This window comes from Homo sapiens, chromosome 16, assembly GCF_000001405.40.
Source record: "Homo sapiens chromosome 16, GRCh38.p14 Primary Assembly".
NCBI classification, from domain to species: Eukaryota; Metazoa; Chordata; class Mammalia; order Primates; family Hominidae; genus Homo; species Homo sapiens.
Window position 1 is genome coordinate 86,268,099 of NC_000016.10, and position 16,916 is coordinate 86,285,014.

The 16,916-nt window shown below is 46.2% G+C and overlaps 1 long non-coding RNA gene across 1 annotated transcript in view, besides 2 other annotated features; it reads right to left on the minus strand.

Moving 5' to 3' along the window:
- Positions 1 to 16,916, minus strand: part of LINC01081 (long intergenic non-protein coding RNA 1081) — a 60,668-nt gene that overhangs the window by 42,519 nt on the left and 1,233 nt on the right. The window contains exons 2-3 of the long non-coding RNA NR_104139.1: positions 7,605 to 7,724; positions 906 to 985 (exon numbers count right to left, since the gene is read on the minus strand). This is a non-coding gene — a long non-coding RNA (long intergenic non-protein coding RNA 1081). The remainder of the gene's footprint in view (positions 1 to 905; positions 986 to 7,604; positions 7,725 to 16,916) is intronic.
- Positions 13,048 to 13,548: an enhancer, noted in NCBI's record as "H3K4me1 hESC enhancer chr16:86314752-86315252 (GRCh37/hg19 assembly coordinates)". NCBI's record gives its function as "activates a minimal SCP1, AML or CMV promoter by ChIP-STARR-seq in primed H9 embryonic stem cells {active_cell/tissue: H9 hESC(primed)}" and the evidence as "EXISTENCE:reporter gene assay evidence [ECO:0000049][PMID:30033119]".
- Positions 13,549 to 14,049: an enhancer, noted in NCBI's record as "H3K4me1 hESC enhancer chr16:86315253-86315753 (GRCh37/hg19 assembly coordinates)". NCBI's record gives its function as "activates a minimal SCP1, AML or CMV promoter by ChIP-STARR-seq in primed H9 embryonic stem cells {active_cell/tissue: H9 hESC(primed)}" and the evidence as "EXISTENCE:reporter gene assay evidence [ECO:0000049][PMID:30033119]".

Genomic DNA, 16,916 nt, shown 5'->3' on the forward strand with positions numbered 1-16,916 from the left:
TGGGTGCAGCGCACCAGCATGGCACATATATACATATGTAACTAACCTGCACAATGTGCACATGTACCCTAAAACTTAAAGTATAATAAAAAAGAAAAAGAAAAAGAAAAAGAAAAAGAATTAGAAAAAAAGACTTTCTACTTGATTCAATAACTCCTGTGTCTGTTACCACCTAAAATCATCCTGTGCCCCGCTGACATGCATCTCACTCTTGGGGAAACAATGTTAATGGATGGGTGTCCAGCTCTTAGGTCCTAATATTCCTTCATTGAATTTTTGTGGTGTGTGTTTCAATAATTAGGGTCCCTCTCTGTTTCTTTCAGTGTTGCTTGTATGTTTACAACTGTTCCCATGAATTCCATTTCCTGGTGTGGTCATTTCATAGCATTTTTATAGCTGCTGCTACAGTGCTCCTGTTCCTCTTCCGTGCATATATTCAAAGATCCAGTTCATTTCCAAACATCAGCAGCGCCTGCTTGGTTCTAGGAATGTGTCTGGGGAACCAAAGGGCATGGAATTTTCTCCAGCTGTGGTATCAAGGGAAAGTGTCTTGGTGGAAACTGGGGAACTGTTTGAAACCTAGTTCAGCTGAGTCTGGTGACCCCAGCAAACAGCCTTTCAAGGTCTATCCTGAAACCTTAACACAATGTAACTCTGTAATATTCACATTCTCTGGTTTATTTAGAGCCATAGCATTTTAATGCCAGAAAATCCCCATATTTCCTTTAATGACTGGTATTTAAATTGACTGAATAAAAAATATGATTTGGTACCATCTTTCCTATAGTAGAGCACTGCATAATGAAGGGATGTGAGAAGACAGGTGTCTTAGTCCATTTTCTGTTGCAATAGCTGTATACCCCAGATTGAGTAATTTATGAAGAATAGGGGTTTATTTAGCTCACCATTCTGGAGACTGGGAAATCCAAGAGCATGGTGCTGGCATCTGGTTGGCTTCTGGTAAGGGCCTCCACTGCATCATAACCTGGAGGAGAAGCAGAAGAGGAAGTGGGTGCTTATAGAAGGGGCAAAGATGAGAGATGTCCTCACTTTATAACAACCTGCCTTTGTGGTGACCAATCTAGTCCTGCAAAAGCCATAACTCACTCCTTTGAGAATTAATCCTGTTTTGAAGGAGGGGCATTAATCCCTCTTAATGACCTAATCACCTCTTAAAGGCCCCACCTCCCAACATTGCTACGTGAGGGGCCAAACTTCTAACATAGACATTCTGAGGACATATTCAAACCATAGCAGCAAGTTTCTGTATAATTTGCTTTTTCTTTTCTTTTCTTTTATTATTATTATACTTTAAGTTTTAGGGTACATGTGCACAATGTGCAGGTTAGTTACATATGTATACATGTGCCATGCTGGTGTGCTGCACCCATTAACTCATCATTTAGCATTAGGTATATCTCCTAATGCTATCCCTCCCCTCTCCCCCCACTCCACAACAGTCCCCAGAGTGTGATGTTCCCCTTCCTGTGTCCATGTGTTCTCATTGTTCAATTCCCACCTATAAGTGAGAACATGCAGTGTTTGGTTTTTTGTCTTTGCGATAGTTTACTGAGAATGATGATTTCCAATTTCATCCATGTCCCTACAAAGGACATGAACTCATTTTTTGTGGCTGCATAGTATTCCATGGTGTATATGTGCCACATTTTCTTAATCCAGTCTATCATTGTTGGACACTTGGGTTGGTTCCAAGTCTTTGCTATTGTGAATAGTGCCGCAATAAACATACGTGTGCATGTGTCTTCATAGCAGCATGATTTATAGTCCTTTGGGTTAATTTGCTTTTTCAAAGGAGGTCTCTATCTAGGGTTTACTTCAGATATGCTGAAACTTGACTTTGAAGAGCCATGAAAACTATGAAGTTACTGCATCACTTTTATTCGCAAAGAGGCATTCAGGTTTCTTAAACACTGACTATGTGCTGGAAACAAAGAAGGAAAGCATCACCCAGTAGTAGGTGCTTCCTGTGTAACAGGTGCTGCTCTAAGCCTGTGTGCAGTAAGCAACACAGCCTCCACAATAATCCTATGTGGCAGATATTATTCGTCTCATTTTACATGAGGCAAATGAGGCCCAGAAAGGTTGAGTTACTTGCCCAAGGTCACTCAGTAGTAAGTGGCAGAACTGGGATTCACACTCGGGCTCTGAGTGATTTAGGAAGGAAAAGAAGTGCATTCCTACAGCAAATACCCATAAAATGACCCTGATTCCATCTTGGGGTCAGGGCAGGAGAAGTCTTGAGTGACTTCTCCTGCCCTGGAGTGAATGAACTCTGCAGGATTGGAAGTTCTTTCCAGCCTAAGGATCTGATGGGGGAAGAGATTGTCAGAGCATGTCCAGGCACACAAACGTGCCAGGAGAAGAGTACCCAGGGAGTGCCCCTGCTGTGCTCTGTGCCTGAGACAGTGGTGATGCTCGTACACCAAAGCCAGACTTGCCCCATAACTGCTGACAGAGGCAAGAGAGCAAGGGACTGCCCTGAGTTTTCTGGTGTCAGAAGAGGGTCAGAGATGAAGGACTGTGGCACATTGCCTAAGAATGCAAGTGCCCTGAGCTCCCTGGTGCTGAAAGGCAGCTGCGGTGGGCTTTGGGGGCCAGTCAGGGAAATGTGGGAGTGTGGGCTTGCCCTTGTTTACTATAGAGGAAGGTGTAGGCCCGTCCCAGACAGGGATGAGCCTCCTGGGGGAAGTTCCAGAACTGGGGCACTATCTTTCCGGGTAAAACTCTACCCTGTTACTGCCCTGGTACTAGAAGGCAGCACAGACCCTGGGACAGGATCCAGCCACGTGACCCTGGTGAGCCTCAGAGTTCCTGTCTGACCTCACTTTCTTCATCTCTGTAACAACAATAAAGAAAATCCCAACCTGAGAGGGTGTCACGAAGATTCAGGGGACGTAGCTGGGGTACTGGCACACAGCAACAGCATTCTTAGGCCTCATTAACGTGGTGTTCTTAGAATTTTCCAGAATAATTTAATGGGTGCACATGCATGTGCACTCACACACGCACATGCACACACATACACACAATTTTCATCGGGAAAATTGTTAATTTTCCTAGAATTTTCTAGAACAAAACTATGTAAGCATGCGTATGCATACGCTCTGTCTCTTTTTCTCTGACACACACACACACACACACACACGCCATTTCCAGTGGAGAAACTGTTAATATTTCATGAGGTTGTGGTTAAGCCAAGAACTGAATTCTCAGCCAAGGAAATCAAATTTTAAAACCCCAGGGGAAGTCAATACATAGGCATTGACAAGACTCTTTAATACTCTCTCTAAAATTACTCTATTCGACAACACTCCAACTTCTTTTGCTTTAAGCACTTTTCACCCAGGCATTTGAGCCTTCCTACACAGCATGGTGTGTGCACCCTTAGTGATGTCACAGTCCCCTCCTTAAGCTGGACCCAACTGGAAATATGTAAGGCTGTCCAGCATGGGTGGGGGCGGTATCCATCTCAGTCAACTCTCCATACTCCCATCTAGAAGGCACATCCTGGGGGAGAGGAGACAGCTCAAAATGGGGAACTGGAAAATGCAAGGATGAAGGAAGTGTTTGTGGGGAGAGGGACTGCTCTTTGCTCCCAGGCAATTCTGTTTTATGCATTGTTTTTACACAGCTTCGTAGCTCATCGAAATACAATGGCTGGTAACAGCTCTGGCTTACAGCAGGTCACAAGAGCCCACGATCATTTCCACTGAACAGATGAAGAAACTGAGGCCTGGAAAGGTTAAACCACCTTGCCCCAAGAGGACACAGCTAGCTAGAGGCAGTATCGAGATTCAGATTTAACTGCTGAATGTTGTGCACGGATGGCTAGCAAGGGTCTCATTCCCCCAGGGTCAGCGGGGAGTCAGCTAGGCTGTAGCCTACCCTGGACTTGGTGCCAAACAGCCCCAGCATCCTGCTTACCCCAAGTCCCTGAAGGTCCCAGAGACACTGGGTGAAGTGGTCCCAATGAACAAATGCCAGGCATCCACTTGAAATGATTTGGTGCTTAAAGTTACGTTTGGTTGTATGCTGTGTTCTGCAAACTCACAGTCTTTTTAAACAAAACGAGAACAGAATTAAAGCTCTCTGTGAAGATCTAGCTTGGGTGGAGCTGAAAGTTTTTCTCTTTCTGTGTACTCATTTAGAATCCTCTCTCCCAGCTGACGAGGGCATGTCTGTTTGACCCAGTTGCAAAGCAAGGGGCTGTGTATGTGGCTCTCACACCTTCCCAGGGCTGGAGGAGGTGATTGCTGGGTATCCTGGTTGTAAATGTAAACGGGGGTGTTTTGCTTTGTAAAGTCACTGGCTTAATTACACCGATGAGAACTTGAAAGCAAGCCTTGCCCCAGAGAACTGCAAATGCCGATTTAACCTCAATACAGAAACTAGAAAGTTTCCACCAGCTCACTCTAATTATTTAACATCCACCAGCATCCCAGGAATTGTGCTCCTTGCCTCCGTAATTAGAGCGATTATGGTGGCCAGTTACGCAAAGCATTTTGAAATATAGGAATGTAAGTATGAACAAGACTATGGCAAATTTTATTATAATTTCATGTGGTTCTTACTACCTGGCTCCAGAAAGAGGAAAAAGGTAGGTGTAAGGGTTTCTATTTATTATTATTACATACTTTCCTTATCTTATGTGTTATTGTTGTTGAGATATAAGCAGAAACTATTTATTGTGTAGGTCTTCCAAGAAAATATCTCAAAGAGTTGACTCATCTGATAAGCCTGACTTTTATCTTTCTCCTCCCATTACCACTTTTTTTCTGCCTGGAATGTGGATGCAATGGATGGAGCTCCAGCAGCCTTCTTGGACCATGAGATCTTAAAGAAAGAAGCTTGCAAAGTGGAACAGAAAGACTTCACGAGGCCTTCATGGAGCTAAATCCAGATCCCTCATTTCTTATGTTATTTTAATATGGAAAAAGAAATGGTGTTCCAGAGACAAACAGCTTGAGTTTAAATCCTGAGTCTGCTACCTCTTACACCAGTTGCTGGTAACCTTAGGCAAGTATTGTAAACTCTCCTGCATCTCAGTTTCCTTCTCTATAATATGAAGATAAAAATATTACTAACCTTATGTGGTTGTTATGAGAATTAAACACACACATGTATAAGTAATAAAAAGCACTATATACATACTTATTAAACTAAATACAACAAACACCCGCAGTGGGGACCTGCAGAGACCATCAGATAGCTCTTTTCTCTTAGACTCTGACACATCTCTGCTTCATTGTGTTTTGTTCTGAGCCTGGTTTTCCATCTTTGTGGTTGGTTGTTGAGCTATCCAGTGCAGTAAATTCCATTTCCCAGTGTTAATGATGCACACAGACCCTACCCAGCACAGCCCTAAGCTGGACTGCTGGCTCTGTGTCACTGCAGCCTATCAGGACTGTGAGACCAAGAGGAGGAATCTTGCCTCTGTCATCATCAGGATGAGAGTGTCCATTGCCCATAGGTCCTTCCACAGTGCCCAAGCATGGAGACTTGCTTGTAGATGTCTGGTGAGATGAGTTCCTTACAATGCCCAGCCTGGCTGAGCAGGGTCTCCACACTCCCCAGCATGGAGAGCCCCCACCTGAGACAAACAGTTGGCCCCTACCAGAACCCCCTTTCCAATGTCAGCTAAAAGTGACTTCTCACAAAATCCCTGCATTTATTCCTCACAGCCAAGCATCCTGGCCAGCTGGGCAGGTCTCCTTTTGCTAAGAACAAAACCCTCCCGAAGACTCCAGGACCTGGAGCTGGGCAAATTCCAGGGAAGGTTATTTCCACGACATTCCCTGAGTTTCACATGGGATGGTTGTAACTGTGAAAGTCGCCAGGAGGCTGTAGGTACTTCATTTTTGCTTACTTCTTAGGAGCATCTTACATGGAAGGCTGGTCTGAGGGAAGCCTTTGTGCCTGAGATAGGTGGCCAGATTTTTTGGGGACTGTTTTAATTTCGGTCCTCTCCCAAGAGATGCAGAGGAACCGAGTTTGTTTAGCTGACGATCCCAGGAAAGTCAGTGAATGGGTGAGGAAGAGAAATGAGGACAGAGGGCAATTGATAGTGAGCAGTCATTGGCCTACTTACCAAGTGGGCACTGAGCTCAACCCTGCTTGAAACCCTGGGAGCCAGTGTAGACAGATGCTCAGAGTTCCCCAGGAGACACAGCTGCAATACACCAACTCTGGGTGGTCGTTGCTCAAAGATTGCTGGTGCCTACGTGTGCATGTGCATGCATGTGTGCATGCGTGAACTCCCAGGAACTCAAGCTTGCTGTGCAGGTGGCAAAATCCAGAGGCAGCCCCATGCAAAGAAAAGCAGGTGCTGGCCATTTGAGCTGGGCAGGCCAACTGTCACAGTGAGGCTGCGGTGGTCCCTTACCCCCTGCCCTCTGTTCTTACCTCTGACCAGGTCCCCAGCTGATCTCCCAAGCAAGGCCACATCTCTCCCACAGAGAAGCCCAGCCTTACAGAGGGCAGGTGCGTAGGGAGGCACCATGAGACCTGCACATTCTAATTTGGAAGCGCTAGCCTGCCATTTTATGAAACTACAGCAACAGCAGTGGGTAAATTTAAGGTCCACAGTTGGCAAAAACAAAAGCAAAAGTCTGACAACTCTAGTCAGCTCCCCCAAGTTATTTCTTTTTCAATTTGAAGGGAACTTGTCATGATTTGTAAAATCCCAAAGTCTGGAACCCAGAGCTCCAGGTGGTTGAGCATTCCCTTCCAGCCCACAATTCTGTTCCCGCCGCACAGCACCTCCCATGCTCCTCTCTTTCAAAGACGTAATCTGGCATCTTTTTCCCCTGGAAAAGGCCATGTCCCCTCTCTGTGTATGTTCTATGCCTGTGCCCGTTCTGGGGTTGTTTGGCCACAGTCCTGTCTCTTTAGTTGGCTGTGTGGATCCTCCCAGAGGGAGGAGGCAGAGACTTGATCTCTCTCTGTATAAGCAGTGGCAGGTGCAATGCTGCCAATGGACAATGCAGGCAATACCAGTTTCTGGCATAAATGAACGAATGAATGAATGAAGCACGTGTGCACCTTAGATTCATATCCTCAGGTGGGCCCTCTGCAGAACAAGATGCTGAGAACCCAGAGGGTGGGAACATTACTTGGTCCATTTCAGACTGCCTTGAGTGGATGAGGAAACTTGCCTGGCGTCTGGGGATCCTTGCTAGGTTTTTCCTGAATTGAATTATCTGATGTTTGTTTGCATTAACATTAGGACCAAGTATAGCTGAGTATATATGAGAAATGTCTACATGAAAATCTATGAAACAGGAATACAGTTCTATTTTTTTGAAGTATTTTTTAGCCAGTCAAATTTAGCAGTGAAGGATTGTATACCAACTTTAGTGACACTAATGTTAATAAATTCTGAAATCTACTGCCACTGGACCAGCCAGGAATACAGTTTTAAATGACTGTCTAATGACAGCATCCTACAGATGTACCTGTACATCGACAAACATTGTTATGCATAGTGCACGTATTATCATGCATCTCATATACATTATAATGAATATGTAATAATTATTGTAACTTAATAATAGATATATGCGACAATATTAATTATAACTTACATTGATCCGTTGCCTATTATGACTTGCAGGTTAGGGGCTCAGGTACAGAGATGATATACAAATCCCAGCTCTGCCACCTTGAATACATGACTTCCTCACTCTGGGCCTCCGTGTCGCCACCTATAAAATGGAGATGATAATATTAGCATCCAATACATAGGGCTAGAGAAGTCTTATATATGGAGACAGAAGTAAAGTGCGTAGCATTTAATAGGGAACCAATCAATGTAAGTTATAATTAATATTGTGACATAATTAGTCAATGTGTTATAATAATTATTGCATATTATATGCATTATAATGCATATGAGATACAGTATAATATATGCACTATGCATAACAATGTTAGTTGATGTACAGGATTTTCATAACATCCTTATCCTTTGTTAATTATTTTCCTATTAAAATAATCATATTCAGGCTTTTCAAAGAACTGAAAGTATTTTTCTCATATAATCTTCCAACATATTCGCCATGTATATTAATTACTTAAACATGCTTTTTTCCCCTTCGGAAAGTATACTTTCTTAATAATGATTAAATGTGCTGCAATTAATTTGGCAAAATATAGAATTGCAGAACTTAAAAACCAGGAGTGACCTTGGTGATCGTTGAGTCAGAAAGGATTTGACACGGAGCTCATTGTGGACGGATCTGGATATCATCCTTATTTATTTATTCATTAGAGAAAACATGTTTCCATCATCCTCTAACTTGGCCTAATTCCCTAATATGTGCATATTTCTATGCACTAGTTCAAACAGTAGCTTGGTACTGGCCACTGAAAGAGAATAAAGGAGACAGCTGGCTGATGAAGAACTGGCATCAAATGTTCAACAGCACTGATGTAAAGTGGCTTACTCCCCTGATGGTCACTGGCATCAGGGAGAAGGTGTATTAGTCCATTTTCACATTGCTCTAAAAAAATACCTGAGACTGGGTAATTTATAAAGAAAAGAGGTTTACTTGATTCACAGTTCTGCATGGCTGGGAGGTCTCAGGAAACTTACAATCATGAAGGGCAAAGGGGAAGCAAGGCACATCTTACATGGTGGCAGGAGAGAGAGAAAGTGCAGGAAAAACTGCCACTTTTGTTTGTTTGTTTTTTGAGACAGAGTTTGTTTTTTGAGACAGGCAACAGTTTCTTGTTGCCCAGGCTGGAGTTCAATGATGTGATTTCGGCTCACCGCAACCTTCACCTCCTGGGTTCAAGCAGTTTTCCTGCCTCAGTCTCCTGAGTAGCTGGGATTACTCGCATGCACCAGCATGCCTGGCTAATTTTGTATTTTTAGTAGAGATGGGGTTTCTCCATGTTAGTCAGGCTGGTCTCGAACTCTGGACCTCAGGTGATCTGCCCACCTCGGCCTCCCAAAGTGCTGGGATTACAGGCGTCAGCCACTGCACCTGGACAAAACTGCCACTTTTTAAAACATCAGATCTCATGAGAACTCCCTCACTGTAACAAGAACGGCATGGGGGAAACAGCACCCATGATCCAATTGCCTCTCACCAGGTCCCTCCCTTGACATGTGGGGATTACCATTTGAGATGAGATTTGGGTGGGGACACAGAGCCAAACCACAGCAACAGGAGACTTTGGTGAGTATCTGTGTGCATGGGTGGGGAGGTGAGGAGAGTGAATTTGAAAAACAATCATCACTGCTGATCTGCTCAGAGCAACATTCAGAGGCAGTTGAATTCTGTTCAGATGCAAAAGAGAGCTGAATGCACATTCCACCAGCCACGTGCACCTGCTTCGGTGTGAAACAGATTTCATAGCTGGTGAACCAAGCAGAGGGTTGCCAGCTGCAGGCGCATGGCATTCCAAGCTCCAGAAACTGGCTCATTCAGAACAGGGGTTGGGGTGCAGTGATTGCTTTTCATTTCACTTTTTTGTAAGATCTTATTGCTGTTTCATTTCATGCTCAGATAGCAGCTATTCAAATAAGTAAATATGTAAGTGGAGACAGGGTGTTGCCTCTACGTCCCCAGCCTGGAGACCAGATCCCCAGCTGCTCTCCCCAGTAAGGCCATGTCTCCCCATAGAGAAGCCCAGAACAGCCACTGAAGGCTCCAAACAGAGACTGAGAAGTCAAATGACCAGGGCCACTTGACCAGAACATGAGGGGCCAGAGCTCCATCTGAGAGTTCCATTGCTCTATTTGCACATTCAGGCTCTCCCTAAATTGCCAGTTGCAGAAATTAACTTCAAGCTCATGTCCCCAGATCAAATGGTCTCCAGGACAGGAGACAATCATGCCTGCTGGGAAAGGAGCACACAAGTGCCACCAGCCCCCTTGGGTTGGCACTAAATTTAAGAAGGCGTCCTATACCCATTTTACAGATGCTGAAATGAAGACTCCCCAAGGTTAAGTGGCTCTCTTGAGACGACTGTCAGGCCTCTGAGCCCAGGCCAGGCCATCGCATCCCCTGTGACTTGCACGCATACATCCAGATGGCCTGAAGTAACTGAAGATCCACAAAAGAAGTAAAAACAGCCTTAACTGATGACATTCCACCATTGTGATTTGTTCCTGCCCCACCCTAGCTGATCAATGTACTTTGTAATCTCCCCCACCCTTAAGAAGGTTCTTTGTAATTCTCCCCACCCTTGAGAATGTACTTTGTGAGATCCACCCCTGCCCAGCAGAGAACAACCCCCTTTGACTGTAATTTTCCATTACCTTCCCAAATCCTATAAAACGGCCCCACCCCTATCTCCCTTCCCTGACTCTCTTTTCGGACGCAGCCCGCCTGCGCCCAGGTGAAATACACAGCCATGTTGCTCACACAAAGCCTGTTTGGTGGGCTCTTCACACGGACACGTATGCAATTTGGTGCCGTGACTCGGATCGGGGGACCTCCCTTGGGAGATCAATCCCCTGTCCTCCTGCTCTTTGCTCCGTGGGAAAGATCCACCTATGACCTCAGGTCCTCAGACCGACCAGCCCAAGAAACATCTCACCAATTTCAAATCCGGTAAGCGGCCTCTTTTTACTCTCTTCTCCAACCTCCCTCACTATACCCTTAGCGGCAAGTCCCGCTTTCCTGGGGCAGGGGCAGGTACCCCTCAACCCCTTCTCCTTCACCCTCAGCGGCAAGTCCCGCTTTCCTGGGGCAGGGGCAGGTGCCCCTCGACCCCTTCTCCTTCACCCTCAGCGGCAAGTCCCGCTTTCCTGGGGCAGGGGCAGGTGCCCCTCAACCCCTTCTCCTTCACCCTCAGCGGCAAGTCCCGCTTTCCTGGGGCAGGGGCAGGTGCCCCTCGACCCCTTCTCCTTCACCCTCAGCGGCAAGTCCCGCTTTCCTGGGGCAGGGGCAGGTACCCCTCGACCCTTTCTCCTTCACCCTCAGCGGCAAGTCCCGCTTTCCTGGGGCAGGACTTGCCGCTTTCCTGGGGTAGGGACAAGTACCCCTGAACCCCTTCTCCACATTACCTGCTTTTCAAGGGCCTGTTTCCCTTGCCTCCATAACTGTTGTGGGTATTGACAGCCAGGCTTCTAAACCTCTTAAAACTCCCCCACTCTGGTGCCAACTTGGACGACACTCTTTTATGCACTCTTTTTTAGTTATCCCCACCTGCCCAGTTCCCTTATTAGGCCGAGATATTTTAACCAAATTATCTGCTTCCCTGACTATTCCTGGACTACAGCTGCAACTCATTGCTGCCCTTCTCGCTAACCCAAAGCCTCCTTCGCGTCTTTCTTTCATATCCCCCCACCTTAACCCACAAGTATGGGACATCTCTACTCCTTCCCTGGCAACTGATCACATGCCCATTACCATCCCGTTAAAACCTAATCACCCTTACCCCACTCAACGCCAGTATCCCATCCCACAGCATGCTTTAAAAGGATTAAAGCCTGTTATCACTCGCCTGCTACAGCATGGGCTTCTAAAACCTATAAACTCTCCTTACCATTCCCCCATTTTACCTGTCCTAAAACCAGACAGGGCTTACAGGTTAGTTCAGAATCTGTGCCTTATCAACCAAATTGTTTTGCCTATCCACCCCGTGGTGCCAAACCCATATACTCTCCTATCCTCAATACCTGCCTCTACAACCCATTATTCTGTTCTGGATCTCAAACATGCTTTCTTTACTATTCCTTTGCACCCTTCATCCCAGCCTCTCTTTGCTTTCACTTGGACTGACCCTGACACCCATTAGGCTCAGCAAATTACCTAGGCTGTACTGCCGCAAGGCTTCACAGACAGCCCCCATTACTTCAATCAAGCCCAAATTTCTTCCTCATCTGTTACCTATCTCGGCATAATTCTCATAAAAACACACGTGCTCTCCCTGCCAATCGTGTCCGACTGATCTCTCAAACCCCGGCACCTTTCTACAAAACAATAACTCCTTTCCTTCCTAGGCATGGTTAGCGTGGTCGTAATTCTTACACAAGAGCCAGGACCACACCCTGTAGCCTTTCTGTCCAAACAACTTGACCTTACTGTTTTAACCTAGCCCTCATGTCTGCGTGCAGCGGCTGCCGCTGCTTTAATACTTTTAGAGGCCCTCAAAATCACAAACTTTATCAGTCCTCCAGGCCCAAGTTGACTCTTCAGCTGCAGTTGTCCTCCAAAACCGCCAAGGCCTTGACTGACTTACTGCTGAAAAAGGAGGACTCTGCATATTCTTAAATGAGGAGTGTTGTTTTTACCTAAATGCATCTGGCCTGGTGTATGACAACATAAAAAAACTCAAGGATAGAGCCCAAAAACTTGCCAACCAAGCAAGTAATTACGCTGAACCCCCTTGGGCACTCTCTAATTGGATGTCCTGGGTCCTCCCAATTCTTAGTCCTTTAATACCCATTTTTCTCCTCCTTTTATTCGGACCTTGTATCTTCCGTTTAGCTTCTCAATTCATCCAAAACCGTATCCAGGCCATCACCAATCATTCTATACGACAAATGTTTCTTCTAACATCCCCACAATATCACCCCTTACCACAAGACCTCCCTTCAGCTTAATCTCTCCCACTCTAGGTTCCCACGCCGCCCCTAATCCCGCTCGAAGCAGCCCTGAGAAACATCACCCGTTCTCTCTCCATACCACCCCCCAAAAATTTCCGCCGCTCCAACACTTCAACGCTATTTTGTTTTATTTGTCTTATTAATATAAGAAGGCAGGAATGTCAGGCCTCTGAGCCCAGGCCAGGCCATCACATCCCGTGACTTGCACGCATACATCCAGATGGCCTGAAGTAACTGAAGATCCACAAAAGAAGTAAAAACAGCCTTAACTGATGACATTCCACCATTGTGATTTGTTCCTGCCCCACCCTAACTGATCAATGTACTTTGTAATCTCCCCCACCCTTAAGAAGGTTCTTTGTAATTCTCCCCACCCTTGAGAATGTACTTTGTGAGATCCACCCCTGCCCAGCAGAGAACAACCCCCTTTGACTGTAATTTTCCATTACCTTCCCAAATCCTATAAAACGGCCCAACCCCTATCTCCCTTCCCTGACTCTCTTTTCGGACGCAGCCCGCCTGCGCCCAGGTGAAATAAACAGCCATGTTGCTCACACAAAGCCTGTTTGGTGGGCTCTTCACACGGACGCGCATGAAAATGACAGAGGACTTTCTGACTCCAACCACTTCTCAGACCCAGCCAGCCTGCATGGGATGTCAGCTTTAAAGACCTTAATCCTTTTGAAAGGAAGAGCTGCTTTATAGATCAGATAATTAAGTGGTTTTTTCTCCCTAGAATGTCAAAACACAATGAGCTCAACATAGTTCTGAAGTAGAGCCGTTAAAAAATTACCAGAAGGAGGCTACAGAGCATTGCTCACGTAGGGGTGGCATGTCCCAGGCATGGGGTGCTCCGGGCCAGCTGGAAGGAGGCTAGAAGGACCGCCTGGCTCACATAGCATTGTCACTGCTGCAGATGCCTGCCCGAGCCAGCGCACAGCTCTGCACGCCAATTCCCATGCTTCAGCCAAGGGTGACCGGGCTGTCTGCCTGGCCCTTTTCATGACGGGTCCAGGTGCCATGTGCTCATAGGAATGGGAGCTGTTGAGAACACCTGACGCTGCTCACACATTTAACTGATGGCTAAGACTGGGCCACGACCCTCAGTCACCCACATTTCCGGCTGGCCACTGAGCCAACCCATCCCCCTCTGTATGAGCCAAATCTCTTCTGAAGCCCTGAGTTCTGGGCTCCGAGAACTACTATAAGGTGAACCTAGGGAAAATGAGACCCAGAAATATAAATGGGCTACATTTCAGCCACTCTTCACTGCCCCACAATACTCTTCACTCTTCTTTTTCTAACAGAACCCTAGTTTTGTTTGAGGGGAGCAATAAGCCCAGCTGAGCACACGAACGCCACCAGATTCCTCCAAATTACAAGTGACTCTGTGACATAGTTCTGGCCAATGAGGCATAAACTGCCGGTTTCGGAGAACCCTGAATCCTCCTCCCTCTGCCCTTCTTTTGCCTGCAATACTGTTGGACAGAGGTGATAGAGGTGATTTTTTTGCCTGAAATACTGCTGGTGTGGTGGTTAAATCCAAGTGTCTGGAGTCCATCTCCCTGGTTTGATACTCAGAATTGCCACTTGCAGGTCCTATGACCCCAGCAAGTGCCTTAATTGCCGTGGGCCTCAGTATTCTTGCTATAAAAAAGCACCTTCCTTGTAGGTTGTTAGGGAGGGTTAAATGAATTAACACATGCAAAGCCCTTGAAGCAATGCCAGCAAATAGGAAGGCTGTCAGGGGGTTGGCCCTTGTTATGTTTCTGGAGGGGAAGCAGCCCTTTTGTAACTGTGAGGACACACACACCAGAACGCAGCAGAGAAAAAGTGCAGGGCCCTGATCACGTGGCTAAGCAGTTGCACCCTCTGTGAACTCCCTTGAACTCCCTACCTCCAGATTCCTGTTGGAACAGACAAAAGGCTTGTTAGTTAGAACCTCTTATTAGTTAGATTTTCTATGCAATTTACCAATCTGGTGGGTGCCCAACCTCACTGGATTATCCTAGTGATCCGACAAAGGGATGCAGGAAAAATGGTATTTGACTGTTCATACCCTTCCCTGGTCTAGCATATTTCCTGATTTCTGTTTCCTGGAAAGAGACGCCAACCCTAAGTAACCCAGGCTTCTCCCAAGATGAATGTGTTCTGTTGTCCTGGACTGGATTTTCAGTGGGTACTTCTTTTCAAGGCTTTCAAACAGAAAGAATGGCAGCTCATGAAAAGTCTAGACCTACATCCTCTATTGCATTGATGTCCCAGTCTTGAGGCCGTATGAATAGCCTTCACTTGTTTTACATAAATGTGAGGGGACAGATTCGAGACGGTCAAAACCCCATCCCCTATCCCACATGTTCTCTTCCCATTGAGAGGTTGGGTCTGTGCCCCTCCCCTGAATCTGGTGGCCCTATGACCCCGAATTCAATTGCACGCAGTGAAAATGCCACTGTGTGACTTCTCAGGCCAGTTTGTGAAACACTACACAGCTTTGCCTGGTCCTCTGGGGCACTCGTTCTGGGGGAAGCCACTGCCACATAAGAAGTCCGACAGCCCTGAGGCGGTCATGCTGGGGGTCCATGTGTGGGCACCCCAATCCATACTCCAGCCGGGCTCCCAGACACCAACCAGCATTTACTAGCAGCTATAAACATGTGTCATCTAGAACATCCAACCCAGTCAACATCTGACCACAGTCAAATGAGACACCCCTAGTGAGAACCACCGAGCCGAGATCTTCCTGGATTTCTAATCCACAAAACCATGAGCAACATCATATAGTTCTAGCCACTAAGTTTTTGGGTAATTTTCCCATAACAATAACAACTAGAACAGAAGGAATCCTCCATAACACTCAGTATGTTATTGATGAAAATGTTTTATGCTCTCTGAGGACATTCCATTACCCTAGGCTCACAGTAATTACACTGAATCTTCAAGAAAACTGAATTCTCACTTCTGTCTTTTCCCAAGCAAAGACTTGGGAAAAGTCATCTGCATTTCAAGGGAAATATTTTTTATTTATTTATTTTTTTATCTTGAGACAGAGTCTTGCTCTGTCTTCAGGCTGGAGTGCAGTGGCGTGATCTCGGCTCACTGCAACCTCCGCCTCCCAGGTTCAAGCGATTCTTCTGCCTCAGCCTCCTGAGTAGCTGGGATTACAGGTGTGCACCACCACGCCCAACTAATTTTTGTATTTTTAATAGAGACGGGGTTTCACCATGTTGGCCAGGATGGTCTCGATCTCTTGACCTCGAGATCCACCCACCTTGGTCTCCCAAAGTGCTGGGATTACAGGGTGAGGCACTGCCCCAGGCCAAGGGAAATACCTTTGACAGCATTTGTTTCTTCTGAATGTTCACGGAACCTCTGGTGAGCTCTACACAATGTTGAGCAGTGCCAACCTCAGCCCCGATTGCACCCAAAGCCAGGGAGGTCCCAAGGAGACTTCCACGTGCCAGATTCCCAGCCCCACTGCTGGCAGCGGCCATGACCTCGAAGGTCACAGAGACTGAAGTGCCATATGCAGGCATGCAGGCCAGGAGGAGCTCAGAGTCTGTGTCCCTATCAGCTACATAATGCTGATTTCACTGACTTTAAATGTTCTTGTGTTGGGTTTTTCCCAAGGAGCTAATTAACACACATCAACTAATTTGGCATCCTAGGGTCTCCAGGTACTATTTACAAACTGCTATTTAACTCTCTTAACAAAGGAGAGCAAGATACGAAACAGTTCTTGTAAGAGGAGAAGGCGGAATCCTCTTCTGTCTCCTCTCCCCATCTTTAAATGGCCCCATTTTAAAATTTTTAACTCTTCCCATTAAAAAATTTTTTTAAATCTCCCCATTTAAAAATATCTGGGTAAGAGGCTGTGGAGGAAATTAAAGAGTAGGAGCCAGAGGTCCCAGGTGCAGAAACTCTGGGGTATGGCGAGACCCCTGAGGCAGGCATGACTAGCTTTGAGATCTGGGTACCAGATGCCCATCTGCTACCCTGTCTCATGAAAGTTGGCCAACTAGAACTCAGCTGGTCATGGGGGAGGCAGGGTAAGATGCCAAGAGGAGAACCTGGACATCTGCTGGAAGCACCGGCATAGACTCTTAAAGAGCCAGCGCAAGAAATGTCCTCCAGGTGGAGCCTCAGTTTCCCCCTCTGTGAAACAGGGAGACTAAGAGTACTTCATAGGATTGTCATGACAATTTAATGAGATAAAAATGCAAAGTTGCCAGCACAGTTCTTGGCATTTCGGAGGAATCTGATAAATGTCATACCGCTGCTGTTTTAGTGTTAGGGTGGTGATCCATAGCGGACACCTCCGGCTTTCGGACCATTC